Here is a 15,419-nt window from a genome sequence, read left to right on the forward strand (position 1 = left end):
CTCTTTGCCTTCAAAGAGTAATGACTTAGGAATATTGTTATGATTTAATCTTAAGTAAAAATATAGGCTATAAAGTGAAATATATATAGTCTGACCCTAATTTCAAAAGTAAATATATCTTATTTGTCTTATTTTTCAACTCAGTTTTTTAAAATGAAATAGAGACATCTTGACATTCTACCCCTACATAGTTTAATATGTAGTTAAAAAATGGAACATTTTCCTTTATAATCAATTTAACATATTTACATCTTATATAAGATCTGTTTATCTGACATCAACTGTCTTTCAAATTTCATCAATTATCCCCTAACCTTTACCTTTGGATTATTCATACCAGGACTCAATCTAGGACTGCTCATTGTAACTGGTTGTTATGGTTCTCAAATCACTTTGAATTCAGAACAATCCCTTTTTTCATGATCATGATCATGTCTATAAGAGAGTGACATATAAAGTCATCTACTTTCTGTATTTGTGTAATTGCTTCCTCATAGGTGTCACTTAGATTGTTTTCTCTATCTCCTGTTCTCTGTCAAATGGAAGATAGAACCTATCAGTTTGATAGATTGAAAGTTGAACATTTTTAGCTAGACTATATCAGAGATGATAATGTGGAATATATTGTACATTAGAGGGTTAAAAAATGTTTTATTCCCATCAGCCATTCCCTGACAGTTTGTTCTTTCTTTTTTAAAATTGAGACAGTGTCTTGCCCAAGCTGGAGTGCAGAGATGCACGAACACGGTTCACTGCAGCCTTGACCTCCTGGGTTTAAGCAATGTTTCCGTCTCAGCCTCCTGAGTAGTTGGGACCAAAGGTGCACACTACCACACCTGGCTAATTTTTGACAACATTTTTTTTGTAGAGGCGGTGTCCCACTATGTTGCCCTGGCTGGTCTCGAATTCCTGGGCTCCAGTGATCTTTCTGCCTCAGCCTCCCAGAGTGTTGGGATTACAGGTGTGGGCCACCATGCCCAGCTTCCCTGATGGTTTTTTGAAAACCCCAGTTGAAGATCTTTACCTATATCAATAATTTTATTAGAGGTTACAAAATGAAGACTTTCAGATTTTATTATTTTCTCTATTTTTATTAACTGATAGTCTCTTTCATTAATTGGACTCTGTTATTGTCCTGAAATACTTGAAAGGCAGAATAAGTGCTTCTTTCTTTCCCATTAATTACCAATTGTAACATTAAGGAGTTCATTAGTAGTTGTTTTAATTGGAGACATTAGAGCAGTCTCTTTCCCCTGCTTTTGAATTATTGTTGTGGACTTATCAATATTATAGCTTCAGTGTATCTCAGTCAACTTCATTTAATTTTGGTTAAAAAAATATATATATATAATGTAAATTTTATTATTTTATCTTTTTTTTTTTTTTTTTTTGAGATGGAGTCTCACTCTGTTGCCCAGGCTGGAGTGCAGTGGTGTGATCTCAGCTCACTGCAAGCTCTGCCTCTCCTGTTCACACCATTCTCCTGCCTCAGCCTCCCGAGTAGCTGGGACTACAGGTGCCCGCCACCACACCTGGCTAATTTTTTGCATTTTTAGGTAGAGACAGGGTTTCACCATGGTAGCCAGGATGGTCTTGATCTCCTGACCTCGTGATCTGCCTGCCTTGGCCTCCCAAAGTTCTGGAATTACAGGCGTGAGCCACCACGCCCAGCCTATTTTATCCATTTTTAAGTGTACAGTTCAGTAGCATGAAGCACAGTTAGATTGTTGTGCAACCATCTCCACCATCCATCTCGATAATTTTTTTCATCTTTCCAAATTAAAAATCAATACCCATTAACCAATAACTCCCTTTTCTGCTCAGCCCCTGGCAATTGCCATTCTATTTTCTGTCTCAAGAATTTTCTTATTCTAGATACCTCATATACTTGAAATCATACGATATTTGTTCTTTGTGTCTTAAGTAATTTCCCTTAGCATACATAATGTCTTCAAGGTTCATCCACTTTTTGTAGCCTTTGTCAGAATTTCATTCCTTTTAAAGTGTGTTATTCTTTTTGACACTTAAATTACAACAATTTTGGCCTGTGGACTCTATTTTTATTTTTTGTTCTTAGGTAAGTTCCCGCTGTGAAGAGGAAAGCCTTCTAGCCCGAGGTCGATCTAGTGCTCAGAACAAGCAGGTGGACGAGAATTCTTTGATTTCAACCAAAGAAGAGCCTCCAGTTCTTGAAAGGGAGGCTCCGTTTTTGGAGGGCCCCTTGGCTCAGTCAGAACTTGGAGGTGGACATGCTGAGTTGCCGCAGCTGACCTTGTCTGTGCCTGTGGCTCCGGAAGTCTCTCCACGGCCTGCCCTTGAGTCTGAGGAATTGCTAGTTAAAACGCCAGGTAAGGTGGGGTTGGGGTCTCAGTATTTGAGCAGATATGATTAGAGGAAGCAGGAGATTTTAGTATGTTTTGATGTAAAGCCAACATTGTATCTATATACAATAAACTACCCCCTTTTGTCCTGGGAAATACTTAAAATGATGGTTAATTAGATATAGTTACTAACCATGAACTGTGGCACACTATCAAGAAGATGTATTTTTAATAACTATGCTCCTTGCTCCAGTGTTGCTCTTCATGATTGTTGATCAGCCACTGTGTAAATTAACAACCAGGATAACAGGGCTTCAAGAGGAGTACTGCACATTAGTGGAATAAGCACTATGCTTCAAGTGCTGGCTCCACCAATCCTTGTGTTACTTGGGAAGTTGTTTAATCTCTGAACTTGTTTCCTCATCTATAAATGGAGATCATAATGTATTAATGTGTAATGTTATATACCTGACAACATAGTAATTACCAGTTCATTAGAAGTTAATTACCAGTTACTTCTCACTTGATCATTCTTTATATATCACCTGGGGAGAGTTGGATCTAAACATATTGTCTCTAATTCACCTTGTAACTATTGAATATTATAGTCAGTCAAGGAATGGCAAGAATCCTCTTTTCTGTACCCCTTTAAATTTTGGATATAACTTTTTTACATTATCAACAGTAGCTTTTGATGTTATTCCTTAAAGAAACGATTCCAATTGTGCTTAAACTAGTTGGGTATAATAAAAAAGATTTTTGAAAGAACAGTAAAGATAGTTATTATTTCAGTACCTACTATGTGCCAAAACTCTATTAAGTCAGCTCTTTTATATTATTCTTGAGTGATCCTATGAATTATCTTTTACCTATTGAATTTTATTTACTTAGGGGCAGAGCAGAAACTATAATCTTTGTCCATTTATGACCATGATCCAAGTTCTATTTCACTCCACTTCTCCTTATTTTATCCTCACCAACAATCAGTTGTTATAAAGGCAGTTCCGTCCTTCTGACTTCTCCCTTAGTGATTTTGTGAGTTAAAGTCACCACACACACATCCCTCACATTAGTTGGTGCTTGCATTGAAAACTGTTTACTTGTTTTGTTTACTAATATTTTATAATAAGCAAATTACCATCCTGCCTCTTCCCATAAGATGACGGGGAAAACATCAAAAACATTGAGATTCATTTTGTGTGGTATACAGATTTTTTAAAAATTAACTTGTGCCCAGTTTCTAAATCATCTAATGTAAAGATACATGCATTTCAGGAAATTATGAAAGTAAACGTCAAAGAAAACCAACTAAGAAACTTCTTGAATCCAATGATTTAGACCCTGGATTTATGCCCAAGAAGGGGGACCTTGGCCTTTCTAAAAAGGTATGTTATTTTTGTAAGTTCTAAAAGAAATAAACTCAGGAAATGAGAAATTTTAAAAATGACATTTTGAGTAGCAGTTATAACATTGATGTACATACATATAGAAATTAGTGTGTGTGTCAGCAGTCATACATGATCTGAGATTTCCTACATGAAAGGCTGTTTTGCAGTTGTGTGACCATGTATGTGTATAAACTGGTTTCAGGTTTCCTTTCCAAGTGAAAAAAATTTTTAAATGCTTTGAAGATTAAGTTTGTGTTTGTTATAATTTCTTTTCTGGGTTCAAATCCTCTTACCTGTTTTCTACTAAACTACTATCTCAAATATCACTAGTCTACTCTCCTATTGCCGTGTCGTCGTAGCCCTTTTGTTTTGTTTTTTTGAGACAGGGTCTGATTCTGTCACCCAGGCTGGAGTGCAGTGGCATAATTTTGGCTCACTGTAATCTCTGCCTCCCAGGCTCACCAGTTAATTTTTTGTCTTTTTTTGGTAGAGACTGGGTATCAATTTTTTTTTTATGTGATAAATACTTTTTGTGTTTTATTCAAGAAATCTAGTGTGATGGTGGCCGGGCGCAGTGGCTCATGCCTGTAATCCCAGCATTTTGGGAGGCTGAGGCGGGCGGATCACAAGGTCAGGATATCGAGACCATCCTGGCTAACATGGAGAAACCCCCTCTCTACTAAAAATACAAAAAATTAGCTGGGCGTGGTGGCAGGCGCCTGTAGTCCCAGCTACTCGGGAGGCTGAGGCAGGAGAATGGTGTGAACCCAGGAGGCGGAGCTTGCAGTGAGCCGAGATGGCGCCACTGCACTCCAGCCTGGGTGACAGGGCGAGACTCCGTCTCAAAAAAATAAAAAATCTATTGTGATGGCTCAAGCCTATAATCCCAGGACTTAGGGAACCCGAGGCAGTAGGATTGCTTAAGCTCAGGAGCTTGAGACCAGCCTGGGCAATAAAGGAGACCTTGTCTCTACAAAACAAAAAACTGTCCCAAAAAAACCCCAGAAAATGGTGTGGTGTTGCATGTCTGGTCCCAGCTACTCAGAAGGCTGAAGTGGTAGGATGTCTTGAGCCCCAGAGGTCGAGGCTGCAGTGAGCTATGATTGCGCTATTGCACTCCACCCTGGGTGACAGAGCAAGACCCTGTCTCAGTCAATCAATCAATAAATGAAATTTTTGTGTGCCCCATGGACACAAAGATGTTCTCCCTGTGTTTTAGGAGTTTTTTGGTTCTGGTTTCACATATAGATCTTTGTTCCATCTTGAATTTTTGAGATGGAGTTTTGTTCTCCCCCATATTGATGTCCAGTTGTTTCAGCACCATTTACCAAAAAATTGCTGATATTGGCTGGGTGCGGTGGCTCACACCTGTAATCCCAGCACTTTGGGAGGCCCAGGTGGGCAGATCACTTGCGGTCAGGAGTTGGAGACCAGCCTGGCCAACATGGTGAAACCCCGTCTCTACTAATAATACAAAAAAAAAAAAAATGGCTGGGCGTCGTGGTACCTGCGCATAATCCCAGCTACTCAGGAGGCTGAGACAGGAGAATTGCTGGAACCTGGGAGGCAGAGGTTGCAGTGAGTCGAGGTCATGCCATTGCACTCCAGCCTAGGCGACAGAGCGAGACTCTCTCTCTCTCAAAAAAAAAAAGAAAAAATACTCCCTGATATTTATCCTCACCCTCTCTTAGATTCCCAGTATCTTTTAAGTATTAATTATACTTAATAACTCTTCGTCACGGTTGAATTTTTACTTTTGGGGAGAGGGGGTTGCCGTTAAATTTGGGATCAGAGCAAGAGAAAATCAGAATTATTGGTTATGGCTAGCACCAAACTCTGGAGAAAAGTGTCCTCTTGTCTGTTTGGGAGTCTGTCCTGCCATCTGACCTGGCCTACTTCATTGTTGAAGTCCTGGTTACTCTGAGGTATATTTTGTCATAAGGCTAAAGCCATGATTCAGTTCCATTTTAGTTTACCAGGCACACCACCACCCTGTCTGCAGGTGGATTAATCAGTATGTCAAACAGAATGAGAGATTGATCTGTTCTGGTAGTGCTTTAAGGGTACTCTGGCTTAATGTATATCCACACTAGACTATATATACAAAGTAAGTTACTGGCATCTTAGTCACATCCTCTAAGAAGTTCTTTGGTCTTTTTCATTCTAAACAGAATAGTTTGATTTTTATTCATATGGTATGATTGTTGTGTGTGTGCATGTGTGTGTGTGTGTGCTGTTAATTTTTATTTTAAGTTATAAAATTGATCATAATAGAAATGAGACTATTTCCTGCATTATTCTCTGACTGTAGTTTGGGGAGCATTGTAATTATTTTGTTCCACAGCTTTTGGGTAACTGTTAAACAATGAACTAATTTGTTATCTAAATAAAATGATTGCTATTTTAAAAAAAATTACAGAAATGTATTTTGTGGATTTGTCTAGGAGTCTCGTTTTGTTGAATTGGATACCTGACATTTGCCCATTCATTTTACTTGAAATAGACTTCTGATATATAGTGAACGTGAGGAGAATTGCAGTCTTATGATTTATTAATATGATAAAATGAGCATTCAGAAATTCACAGCTGTATTTTATCTTGTTTTACTTCCAAACATTAGGAACTCTACAACAAAAATGGCCTTTATTATTTATTTATTTATTTATTTATTTATTTGAGACAGAGTTTTGCTTTTGTTGTCTAGGCTGGAATGCAATGGCACAATCTCGGCTCACCACAACCTCCACCTTCCAGGTTCATGCGATTCTCCTACCCCAGCCTCCGAAGTAGCTGGGATTACAGGGATGTGCCACCATGCCTGGCTAATTTTTTGTATTTTTAGTAGAGGCAGGGTTTCTCAATGGTAGTCGGGCTGGTCTCGAACTCCCGACCTCAGGTGATCCGCCTGCCTCGGCCCCCCAAAATGCTGGGAATACAGGTGTGAACCACCGTGCCCAGCCAGAATGGCCTTTACTATGCTAACTTTTTGTGACCACTAAATGTTGTTTTACAGTTATGATGAAGAATATCATCATTCTTGTAGGAAAAGACATTTGCTTGGGGTGGAACTAATTCATAGAAGTATATTAGTAGTGGGTGAGGTGAATAAAATGTGTGGCTCTTGATTAGACTCCTGATGTTGAGTATTTGTTTTGAGTTTTAATGTTGCTTTAATTTGGATTAATCTGAAGTCATTTTAAGTTGGAATGTCATTCAGTATTTCAGAACTGTTTAATTTACAGTTCACCAGGTAAACAGGTCTCTGTCAAATCTAATAGCTGTGAATACAATTGTAGGAAGATGGGTTATTTTTCTTTCTTTCTTTCTTTCTTTTTTTGAGACTTGCTCTGTCTCCCAGGCTGTTGTAGTGCAGTGGCGCGATCTTGGCTCAGTGCAACCTCCGCCTCCTGGGTTCAAACAGTTCTCCTGCTTCAGCCTCCCGAGTAGCTGGGATTACAGGCATGTGCCACTGCACCTAGCTAATTTTTGTATAATTTTTAGTAGAAACGGGGTTTCACCATATTGGCCATGGTTGGCCAGGCTGGATTCAAATTCCTGACCTCAGGTGATCTGCCCCCCTCGGCCTCCCAAAGTGCTGAGATTACAGGCATGGGCCACTGCACCCAGCCATGAAGATGGATTTTAAGTACAGGGTGGAGTGCAATAAAATTGAGCCTGTGGATCTCTGGGTACATACCCCTTCTCTTTCTCCATCCATTTCAGTCACAGAAAGCATTGTGTATCTAGTCTATATGTTGGAAATCTCTGGCAAGTCTTTATTTTTTCTTAAGGAGTAGGTGGTGTTCACAGGTCTGTTGGAGCATTGTTTTTGTTTTGTTTTAAGATGGAGTCTCGCTTTTGTTGCCTAGACTGGAGTGCAGTGGTGCGATCTTGGCTCACTGCAACCTCTGCCTCTCCAAGTTCAAGCAATTCTCCTGCCTCAGCCTCCTGAGTAGCTGGGATTACAGGCATGTGCCACCACACCTGACTAATTTTGTATTTTTAGTAGTGATGGGGTTTCTCCATGTTGGTCAGGCTGGTCTTTAACTCTCAACCTCAGGTGATCCACCCGCCTCAGCCTCCTAACGTGCTAGGATTACAGGTGTGAGCCATCATGCCCTGTCTGTTGGAGCATTTTAAAATCTGATTCCTTTCCCCCTGAAGTTTCCGTTCAACCCTTTACTGTGGTCAGGTTGATTTCTTTAATTGCTAAAACAAGTCAAAATTCAATATCCATGGCAGCTGACAATTCAGACTTTGGCATATAAAGTAAAGGGTTTATTTTTTCATTCCTCTGTAAATGGTGTTGTTTTCACTTATTTATAGTGCTATGAAGCTGGTCACCTGGAGAATGGCATAACTGAATCTTGTGCCACATCTTATTCAAAAGATTTTGGTGGAGGTGAGTATTTTTGAGATTTAAAAAACGTAATGCAGTAGTAAGTTTGAAGTGCTTTGTCTGTTAACCACAAAAATTGTTACATGTGTAAGCCCGACCAGTGAGGTACAAGTTTTAAAACTGGTTTGCCCAAAATCTGCTTCCTGAAAAAGAAAAAATATTGATAAATTGAATATCTACTCTACCAGGACTTTTAGTAGGAATGCTACCTGTAATCTCTCTAAAGCGTTACAGAGAGTTAGGTTATTATCTATAGTATTCCTGTTTTATAGAAGAAATGTGAAGATGAACAAGGTAGCAAGGTCAGGGAACTAAATCCACACCTGACCAATTTCATGGTCATACTCCTGTCTTCTTATCCACCCCAGGTTTTCTCCATGCCACTTCTTTCTTCCACTCTTCATTTGTCTGCCAATGCCATTTATTGATTAGTGTCATTTTTGAAATATTATTCCAGATTTGAGCACACTGCAACAGATGTGGTCTGCTAGCAAAGAGTATCATGGGAAGATTATATTTCATGTGGCCTACGATTATTAAATTTTCTAACAAGTAAATCTAGCAACATGTTAGCTTATTTTAGCTATGTGACAATTGTAATCCCATAGGTTGGTCAATTTGCTTGTAAGATTTAAAAATAAGCTGCTTTCAAAATAATATCAGGCCGTTCATGGTGGCCCACAACTGCAATTTCAGTGCTTTGGAGGCCAAGATAAGAGGATGACTTGAGGCCAGGTGTTCCATCCAGACCAGGCTCGGCACTTAGTGAGACCCTGTCTCTATCTACAGTTTAAAAAAATGAGCTAGGCATGGTGGTGTATTTCTGTAGTCACAGCTACTTGTTAAGCTGACATGTAGCTTAACATGTTCAAGGAACGATCCCTTGAACCCGAGAGGTTGAGGCTACAGAGAGCTGTTGCTCACACCAGGCACTGTAGCCTGGGCAACAATGCGAGACCATGTCTCTTAAAATAATAGTAGTAATAATAATAACAACAGCTCTTTTCCTGTATTTTTATATTTCGTTTTTAAAATAAAACCTACAACATGAACTTTATCCATTATAAATTTTGTGTTAAGTGTTCCAGCTCATGAGAATTTCAAATCTTTCTATTGTGCTCATATTAACTCTTCTTTTAGTGTTAGGCTGCGAGCAGTTTTGATGGCAGAGCTTCTCCAACTCAATCAGGCAGTCAAAAAAGAGCTCACTGAGGCAGTCTTCAAAACTCCAGCTTTCATACTGTTAACTAGCACAGATATCCTAAATGTTTTATGAAATACCTCTTAGATTCCTCTTTATGTTTCTATAACACAGTTGAAATGTGTTTAACAGAAAGTGCAGGAGGGACTAGAAGAATTTCTTTCTTTTTTTTTTTTTTTTGGTTTGAGATGGAGTCTGGCTCTGTTGCCCAGGCTGGAGTACAGTGGCACAATCTCGGTTCACTGCAGCCTCCACCTCCCAGGTTCAAGCGATTCTCCTGCCTCAGCCTCCTGAGTAGCTGGGACTACAGATGTACTCCCTCACGCCTGGCTAATTTGTTTTGTATTTTTAGTAGAGATAGGGTTTCACCATGTTGGCCAGGATGGTCTTGATCTCCTGACCTCGTGATCTGTCCACCTTGGCCTCCCAAAGTGCTGGGATTACAGGCATGAGCCACCCTGCCCAGCCTCAACCCTCCATCTTAATCCTTTTATTTTTTTTATTTATTTTTTTTTTTTTGAGATGGAGTTTCGCTCTTGTTACCCAGGCTGGAGTGCGGTGGCATGATCTCGGCTCACTGCAACCTCTACCTCCTGGTTTCAAGTGATTCTCCTGCCTCAACCTCCTGAGTAGCTGGGATTACAGGCATGCACCACCATGCCTGGCTAATTTTGTATTTTTAGTAGAGACAGGATTTCACTATGTTGGTCAGGCTGGTATCAAATTCCTGACCTCATGTGATCTGCCGGCCTCAGCCTCTCAAAGTGCTGGGATTACAGGCTTGAGCCACGGTGCCCAGTCCTTAATCTTTAAATCATATAGTGATTTGTATTATTGTCTCCAGTCTTGAAGTCTAGGGAGTGGTATCTTTTGATGACTAGTAAAATGCATTTCCCCTTCATCTATAGGATTTAATTCCTTTGAAGAACTACAAGATTTGTCATTTCAATCATATAAATTAAAATTTCTGTAATAACCTATACACTTACTATTTAATCTATATGAGGGAGCAGTTACATATATGTAGCCATTTCCCTTCTTGTTATGTCATCATGAGTTAGTCTCAATTATTATTTCCCCCGTTTTCCTAATCCACAAAGCTGGAGAATTAAATGAGTTTTAAGGTTGGTTTTTATTCTAATAATAGGATAAGAGATTTTGGACATGTGTGTTAGTAGCCAGCAGTTAACACCTATTTTCCTGTCATAGGCACTACCAAGATATTTGACAAGCCAAGGAAGCGAAAACGACAGAGGCATGCTGCAGCCAAGATGCAGTGTAAAAAAGTGAAAAATGATGACTCGTCAAAAGAGATTCCAGGCTCAGAGGTATTACTCAGTTCCTGATCTTTTCACCTTCTAAAGAGAAGCTACTTTTCACGCCAGAGGCCACATCCCTCTTTCCCTTGAGTTTTCTTAAGAATACTATTCTACTGAAATGGCTGATGGCCATAAGGAATCTTGGAGGAAAAGTAGAGCCTTATCCTAATAATAAGGCAAGGCATGTATTGCAGCTGTCAATATGGTCTTTTTAAAAGATCATCACATCCTATGCTGTAGGTGTCCAATCAGGTATATAAGTGTTTCATCGTTAAGTAAACTTGTAAAACCGGAGAGTACAATATCAAGTCAACATATGATCTGAAGGAACATAGATACTGTCCTATAAAAGTTGAGACTGGCCAGGTGCTGTGGCTCACGCCTGTAATCCCAACACTTTGGGAGGCCGAGGCGGGAAGATAACTTGAGGTTGAGAGTTCGAGACCAGCCTCGCCAACATGGTGAAACCTCATCTCTACTAACAATACAGAAATTACCTGAGTGTGGTGGCATGCGCCTATAATTCCAGCTAATCGGGCAGAGGCACAAGAATCACTTGAACCCTTGAGGCAGAGGTTGTAGTGAGCCGAAATCATGCCACTGCCCTCCAGCCTGGGTGACAGAATGAGACTCTGTTGCAAAAGAAAAAAATTGAGACTGCTGGCTGGGCGTTGTGGCTCATGCCACTCAGCTCTTTGGGAGGCTGAGGTGGGAGGATCATATGAGAACAGGATTTCGAGACCAACCTGTGAAATACAGTGAGACCTTGTCTCTACTTAAAAAAAAAAAAAAAAAAATCGAGACTGCTGTGGTTAGCGGGAAGATTTACTTGCTTATTTCTTGAGACCATCAGCTACTTAATCTTAGGACAATTTTTATGAATATCGGCCTTCAGGAAACAAAAGATTTAAAACCATTTACTTGCAAAGCATCAGTGCAATCATTGATATTATCTTCGGGTTTCCAACTCAGGTTAAAAGAGAGAAGTCAGGTCAGCATCACACATTATGATGCAGAATGTTTCTTTCCAGGACAATTTGAATAGAATGCCCAAGAGGGGCATTATTTAGGAAACACTGATCTTGGAAGGACAAATAAGTAATCAAATAAACTTAAGAATGTTTTCTCTCCCTTAGTGAAACCTTAAAATGGAACAGCTCAGAAAGTTCCAGTGGAACAAACAGCCTCAGAGCAGTTAGTGGCAGGGCATGAGGCGCCCACTACCCGCCCAATCACAGCAGGGTTAGAACTAACATTGCATGCAGTCCGCCCGAGTGATTGGCTGAACATCTGTAAGTGCTTAATGGCTAGACAAATAGCAGCCCAGAGGGAGGGGGTCAAATGGAAGAGACATCAATAATACAGATGTGGGACATTATTTTTTCTTTGCAAGGGAGAACTAATGCCTCACAGGACGGCCACAAGCCCCAAGGAGACTGTTGAGGAAGGTGTAGAACACGATCCCGGGATGCCTGCCTCTAAAAAAATGCAGGGTGAACGCGGTGGAGGAGCTGCACTCAAGGAGAATGTCTGTCAGGTAGAGAAATGTTTGCCCACTTGTGTTTTCATTGCATGTTCATCTTTAAAGGGAAACCCACTCCATCTCTTTATGATGGTTTCTTGGTAGAATAACAATGCTTTTGGATGATTCCAGTGGAGTCACTTTCTTTAAGGATTTGACCCCTTTTTTTCTCCCCACAAAGAAAGATACTTGGAGAAATAGTTTAGTGTTGGTGAACCACGTGCCCTTAAGGCCCATGAAGGAATATATGCCGCGAAACAAGTCTGAGATGGAATATGTGAATCTCTGGTTGCTTATTCAAATATAATTCTCCAGTACTTCTCATGGTGTCACAATCTTTGGGTTTGTAAGAAACTTTTCAAGGGTAATTTTAGCTTTGAGATGTTTTTCCTTTAATGTGGTGACTTTAGAAAGCCTACCACCTATATTGTTTTATTTATTTAATAAATATTTGTAGAGTATTTACTATGTATGAAGTATTGTTCCAAGCACTTTATAAATATTACATTATTTAGTCATCCTAATAATCTCATAAGTAGAGTTCTATGATTATTCCCATTTTGCAGATGAGGAAACTAAATTACAGAGAGGATAAATAGCTTGTTTATATTCATGAGAGAAGCCTGGATTTAAACTTCGGCAGTCTGGATTTAGAGTCTCCCTCTCCGTTTTTCTAACCTTTAAGCTCCGTTGGACTTGGTTGGTTTAGAGTCTTAACCATTTTGTTGGATTGCCTCTCTGTGAGATAGGGGATTCCACTTTATTGTTAGAGACTTGAAGTCTTTGTGAGTAGAGTCAATGACCATTTGAATATATATATTTTTAATGGTCTTGATTTACCTATGTAATTCTTAAAATTTAGTATATACAAACTTGAAGTTAGGCAATGCGCAGTGGCTCATACCTACAATCACAGTGCTTCTGGAAGCTGAGGCAGCAGGATTGCTTGAGGCCAGGAGTTCTAGACCAGTCTGGGCAGCACAGCGAGACCCCTGTCTCTATTTTTAAAAAATTTGTCTTTTTTTTAAATTAGCCAGCTGTAGTGGCTCATACCTGTAGCCCAACAGGTCAAGATTACAGACTTGTCTTTTAAATAAACAAAAAACTTGAGGATGTTAGTTTTTCTTTTTTCTTTTTTATTAATTAATTATTTATTTATTTATTTATTTATTTTTGAGACGAAGTCTCGCTCTGTCGGCCAGGCTGCAGTGCAGTGGCGCGATCTCTGCTCACTGCAAGCTCCGCCTCCTGGGTTCACGCCATTCTCCTGCCTCAGCCTCCCATTCTCCTGCCTCAGCCTCCTGAGTACCGGGACTATAGGCACCCGCCACCATGTCCAGCTAATTTTTTGTATTTTTTGGTAGAGATGGGGTTTCACCGTGTTGGCGAGGATGGTCTCGATCTCCTGACCTCGTGATCTGCCCGCCTCGGCCTCCCAAAGTGCTGGGATTACAGGCGTGAGCCACCACGCCCGGCCAGTTCTTCTTTTTTAAATTGAAACCATAGGCCAAGCACAGCACTAATCTCAGCACTTTGTGAGGCTGAGGTGGGTGGATCATTTGAGCCCAGGAATTTGAGACCAGCCAGGCAACATGGTAAAACCCTGTCTCTGCCAAAAATACAAAAATTAGCCAGGCATGACAGTTCGTGCCTGTAATTCCCCTGCTGGGGAGGCTGAGGTCATTGGATCACCTGAAGCTGGGGAGGTAGAGGCTTTAGTGAGCCATGGTCATGCCACTGCACTCCCACCTGGGTGACTGAGACCCTATCTCACAAATAATAAATAGTAATAGATAAATAAGTTGAGATCTCTAAAAAAGTAAACTCAGACCAGAAAATGTTATTGTGGCCAATATAATTTCAATCCAGTTTCTTTGCCTATTATCTTCACTATTACATTCTTGGACCAGATCCCAAACAACAGTCTTAATCCTCAAAAACAGTTATGCCCATTATTTACTTAGTGAGACAAGTCAGAGTGTAAATACATTTTACAAAGATCATTTAATGAAAAGGTTAAAGGTAAGGTGACCCTGTGGTCCTGGCTTGTCTGGATCAGTCTTTGTGTAGGTCCCTTGTGCTGTCACAATTTATTAATAGCACTTCTTTTCACTCTCAGGTGTCCCGGTTTGAAAGATAAATTACGTGGTTATCCCAGTTGAATAATTAGTCTATAACATTTAGTTAATGCAAAAACTTTATTTCTAATTCACGTTGTAATTAACGTTTTCCTATTTAAGTGCTGAAGGTCAGTTTTTTTTTTTTTTTACCATATATAGAAACGTTATTGGCACTCTGAATATGCAAAGTACAATATATAGTGCTATTTTTCAGTTTTTATATGTGAATAGTAGATAATGGGGAGTCAGACATTTGAGGATATCTCAGACTATAGGTTGATAAAGTCCCTGAGTTCCCCTATCAATTCCAGGCTACCTCTCTAACCTTTCTCCCTAAAGCTGTCCTGTTTTTTATTTAAGCTTTGATTCTTAAGTGATCAAGACCTATTCTGTTTCTATGAGTTCTTGAAGCTAAAACTTACTTAGTCACCTTTCCCCTTGTTTGCTTTTCATAGTAGTACAAGGCTTTAAAAATATTTGGGCTGGGTGCGGTGGCTCACACCTGTAATCCCAGCACTTTGGGAGGCCAAGGTGGGTGGATCATGAGGTGAGGAGTTTGAGACCAGCCTGGCCAACGTGGTGAAACCCCATCTCTACTAGAAATACAAAAATTAGCTGGGCATGGTGGCGCATGCCTGTAATCCCAGCTACTCGGGAGGCTGAGGCAGGAGAATCACTTGAACCCGGGTGGCAGAGGTGGCAGTGAGCCAAGATTGCGCCATTGTACTCCATCCTGGGCGACAGAGCAAGACTTCCTCTCAAAAAAAAAAAAAAATTGATAAATCTTACAATGTTTTATAGTGACAGATGCCCATTGTTATTTCCTAAGCGCCTGTCTTAAGTGAGGCCCTATCTTAGCTGAGATTATTTCAGAAAAGTGATCTCTCTCTGGGATGGTTGTAGGTATGTCCCAAAAGGGCTGTTTAGACCTTGGTGGGAGCTCTTTTGGAACTTTATGATCCAACTCTAGCTAGCCAGTGTCTGTTGCTTGAACCATTCAGTAGCTTTCTGGTTTATCTCTATGCTCTTTTCTGACCTTTCTACTCTTGAACTCGTTTTCCATGTAGCAGTCAGAACAGTCTTTTTAAAAATGAATACCTGATTTTAGCTTTCCTTTGTTAAAGCTCTCCAATGGTACACCTTTGTAAC

At 40.1% G+C, this 15,419-nt stretch overlaps 1 protein-coding gene across 12 annotated transcripts in view; it reads left to right on the forward strand.

Annotated features, from left to right (window-relative positions):
- The window catches only part of NSD1 (nuclear receptor binding SET domain protein 1), a 168,416-nt gene that overhangs the window by 104,362 nt on the left and 48,635 nt on the right, over positions 1-15,419 (forward strand). For all 12 annotated transcript variants that reach the window (NM_001409301.1, NM_001409304.1, NM_001409305.1 and 9 more), the window contains 5 exons: positions 2,078-2,348; positions 3,597-3,706; positions 8,036-8,111; positions 10,519-10,637; positions 12,022-12,165. In NM_001409301.1, the coding sequence (NP_001396230.1) occupies positions 2,078-2,348; positions 3,597-3,706; positions 8,036-8,111; positions 10,519-10,637; positions 12,022-12,165 (720 nt within the window). The remainder of the gene's footprint in view (positions 1-2,077; positions 2,349-3,596; positions 3,707-8,035; positions 8,112-10,518; positions 10,638-12,021; positions 12,166-15,419) is intronic.

The sequence above is a fragment of the Homo sapiens genome, chromosome 5, assembly GCF_000001405.40.
Source record: "Homo sapiens chromosome 5, GRCh38.p14 Primary Assembly".
NCBI classification, from domain to species: Eukaryota; Metazoa; Chordata; class Mammalia; order Primates; family Hominidae; genus Homo; species Homo sapiens.